Source organism: Homo sapiens, chromosome X (genome assembly GCF_000001405.40).
Source record: "Homo sapiens chromosome X, GRCh38.p14 Primary Assembly".
Classification (NCBI taxonomy): domain Eukaryota; kingdom Metazoa; phylum Chordata; class Mammalia; order Primates; family Hominidae; genus Homo; species Homo sapiens.
In genome coordinates, this window is record NC_000023.11 from 102,459,684 (window position 1) to 102,462,542 (window position 2,859).

Genomic DNA, 2,859 nt, shown 5'->3' on the forward strand with positions numbered 1-2,859 from the left:
CACAAAGAGTTTTCAAAGCCCTCAAGGAAATGATTTTTCAATGGAGAAAATAATGCTAGTGACTGTAGGTTAATGAGTTCCCCCCTCCCCCACCAGATTACTTAAGGCTGTATGTCTGCTGCCTGAACCCTGAAGGCCAGGTGGTGGTCTAAGGCCATGCATGGTGCCCAGCTTAGGAGCCGAGGTGTCTGTGAGAACCAAAACATCCCAGAGTGTACTGGGAAACATACCAAGAGAAAGAGTCTCATTGCATACAGAAGGCAAAGAGCCAGAAAATTAGCTTAAAAGCAGCTTGCAGAGGAGTGTCAGGGCAGATCCCCAGAGCTGTCCTGCTGCCACCCAGGAATGCCCTATACGTAAGTCCCAAGAAATTCATCTGCTTATCAAGCCGGACTTGTCCGGGTCATTCTTTGGTCTCTTAGCTCCTTCCCAGTTTTCAGGGGGCATTATTCTATACAGTCCCAGGATTTTCCCTTATCAGTACCTGATGCCCAGATTCGGCTCAGGCAAGCATACTGAAGAATGATCAGCCAATGAAGGGAAAACAGAGGGCCCACTGGATTCTCACTCAGCTAGTTAGGGGATGAGGCTGCAGAACCTGACTTCAGCTAGAACACAGGAGGAACTGAAATTTTCTTGCAGCTCAGAGGTTTATTAGTGAAGGGGATTGGGCCAGTTGGTGCTTACATGCTTGACCCCTGCATCCCTGTGTCCTGGCTATAGCGAGGAAGAGGGCTGACTGTTCGACTAACCACAGGTGATGTCCTCCCAGAAACATGCTGACCTCTCTCTCCTGAGTCCCTGTTGCCATAGCTGGGGTCCAGCACTATCAGTTAGGCTCCACATCTGTTTCTTGTGCTTGAGCTGGATGGATGATGTGTTTTAGGATCTCAGCATAGTATGGGCCAAATACCTGCTGATTATGATGCATCAGATTGAGAAACTTCCAGCCCAGTTCTGCCAACTCCTTTTCAATGAGAATGAGGCCTCCAGGAAAGTGTAGCAGAGACTCCTGCATGCCATGAAGCAAACAGCATTTGAGAAAAAAACGGATCCACTGATCTGTGAGCAGGGAAAAACAATGACAAGAGGAACGAAGACGGTACAGAAGAAATTCACAATGCCTTTGCTCTATCTGCTCACCAAAGTTTTGCATTAACCGAGTTATTCACTGACCTCTCTGCTCATTTGGGTAAACCGTATACATGAGATTTTTGTTTGTTTGGGGGAATGGAATGCCATCAATCTCCCAAAGGACAATGCATGATCAAAAGATGCTGAGGTAGTAAATTTCTGGGGGTTCATAAGATTACTTTATGTAGCTGTATGTGAGATCCTAGGGCACGTTTAACTTAACAAGAGGACCGTAGACCCGGTACCTGAAAGTAACAACACATGTTGCAGCCAGTGCACCAAGTTCAGGCCCATACACCCAATCCAGGCTATGATCAGATGGTAAAGTTCAAAGCAAGCTGGCCAAGTTCACTGCTTCCATTCCAGCATGGAACATGTCCTACAGCCCAACTCAGCATCACTTCCATGGAGAGGCGTAGGGGCCCAAATGGTAGCTTAAAGCATAGGATAGAGAAAGGGTTCCTCCATATATCTTGGCCGACATTTAGAATATGACCAGGAATGGGCTGGGCGTGGTGGCTCACGTATGTAATCCCAGCACTTTGGGAGTCCGAGGCAGGCGGATCACGAGGTCAGGAGTTCGAGACCAGCCTGGCCAACATGGTGAAACCCCATCTCTACTAAAAATACAAAAAAAAATAGCCAGGCATGGTGGCGCGTGCCTGTAGTCCCAGCTACTCGGGAGGCTGAGGCAGTAGAATCGCTTGAACTCAGAAGGTGGAGGTTGCAGTGAGCCTAGATCGTGTCACTGCACTCCAACTTGGGCAACAGAGTGAGACTTTGTCTCAAAAAAAAGAAAAGAAAAGAAAAGAGAAAATACCAGGAATGACTTCATAGGGTTAGCGTGATAATATCCAACACCTGTGAATGACATATCTTGGGTACAGAGCTGTCTTCAAACCATACATGCATTCTCCAAATTGAGAAAGATCTATTTGAACAGTGCACATTATAGACGAGGAAACTAAAGCTAAAAAACTTCCCAAATGATCATGCCTTTTCATTTTTAAATGCTTAGGTAACTCACATTCAGGGTAAGGTCTACCCACCCATGCCCCACATTCTTGCCACTTTTCTGCACGACGACCATGGAGATTCTTACCAACAATGCTACGAATGCAGTTCTCTTTCTTGGTGATGTTCTGGAGTTGGCCTAGAAGAGATGCTGTGTTTTCACTGCTCAGAGTAGTGAGGCCCATGTCCTTAAGGCCTTGATGGACTTCCTGAGACACCTGTTCACTCACACTCAGCATAGTCTCTTCAGGCCTAGATAATAAGGGATAGAATGCAGAGTGGGCCTGGCAGAGGGGCAAAGCCCAGAGAGCCTCATACCACAAGCCAGGCCTATTCCAGGAAGAATTCTGGCTCTCTGCCACCAGAAGACAGCATTAGCCACTGGGCAGATGAAATACACTCATTGTTACCCGCAAGGTACCACCTGATCCAAACACACAGCACCATATGCCACTTCGATGAAAACAAAGTAAATTGGGCAAGGGTTCAGTTCCATCCTTGGATCTACTCGGCATTCTCCAGTCCCATCAACTGTATTTAAATGTTGTTTTAAGACTCTATTGGATATTTTTCATGGTTTTTCTCCTACCCCACCAATTAAATTGCTAATATATTAAGAGGCTTGGACTTCCTACTCCTCCTTGTACTTTGGTATAATATCCCTGCCCCCACATGCAGTGAATGGTCAATATCACTGACCAACCGATCAAC

The 2,859-nt window shown here is 46.5% G+C and overlaps 1 protein-coding gene across 2 annotated transcripts in view; it reads right to left on the reverse strand.

Moving 5' to 3' along the window:
* Window positions 1-631: 631 nt before the first annotated feature.
* TCP11X2 (t-complex 11 family, X-linked 2) overlaps window positions 632-2,859 on the reverse strand; it is an 11,498-nt gene continuing 9,270 nt past the window's right edge. For both annotated transcript variants that reach the window (NM_001405027.1, NM_001277423.2), the window contains exons 9-10: window positions 2,237-2,400; window positions 632-1,062 (exon numbers count right to left, since the gene is read on the reverse strand). In NM_001405027.1, coding sequence (NP_001391956.1) covers window positions 830-1,062; window positions 2,237-2,400 — 397 coding nt within the window. In that variant the 3' untranslated portion in view covers window positions 632-829. The remainder of the gene's footprint in view (window positions 1,063-2,236; window positions 2,401-2,859) is intronic.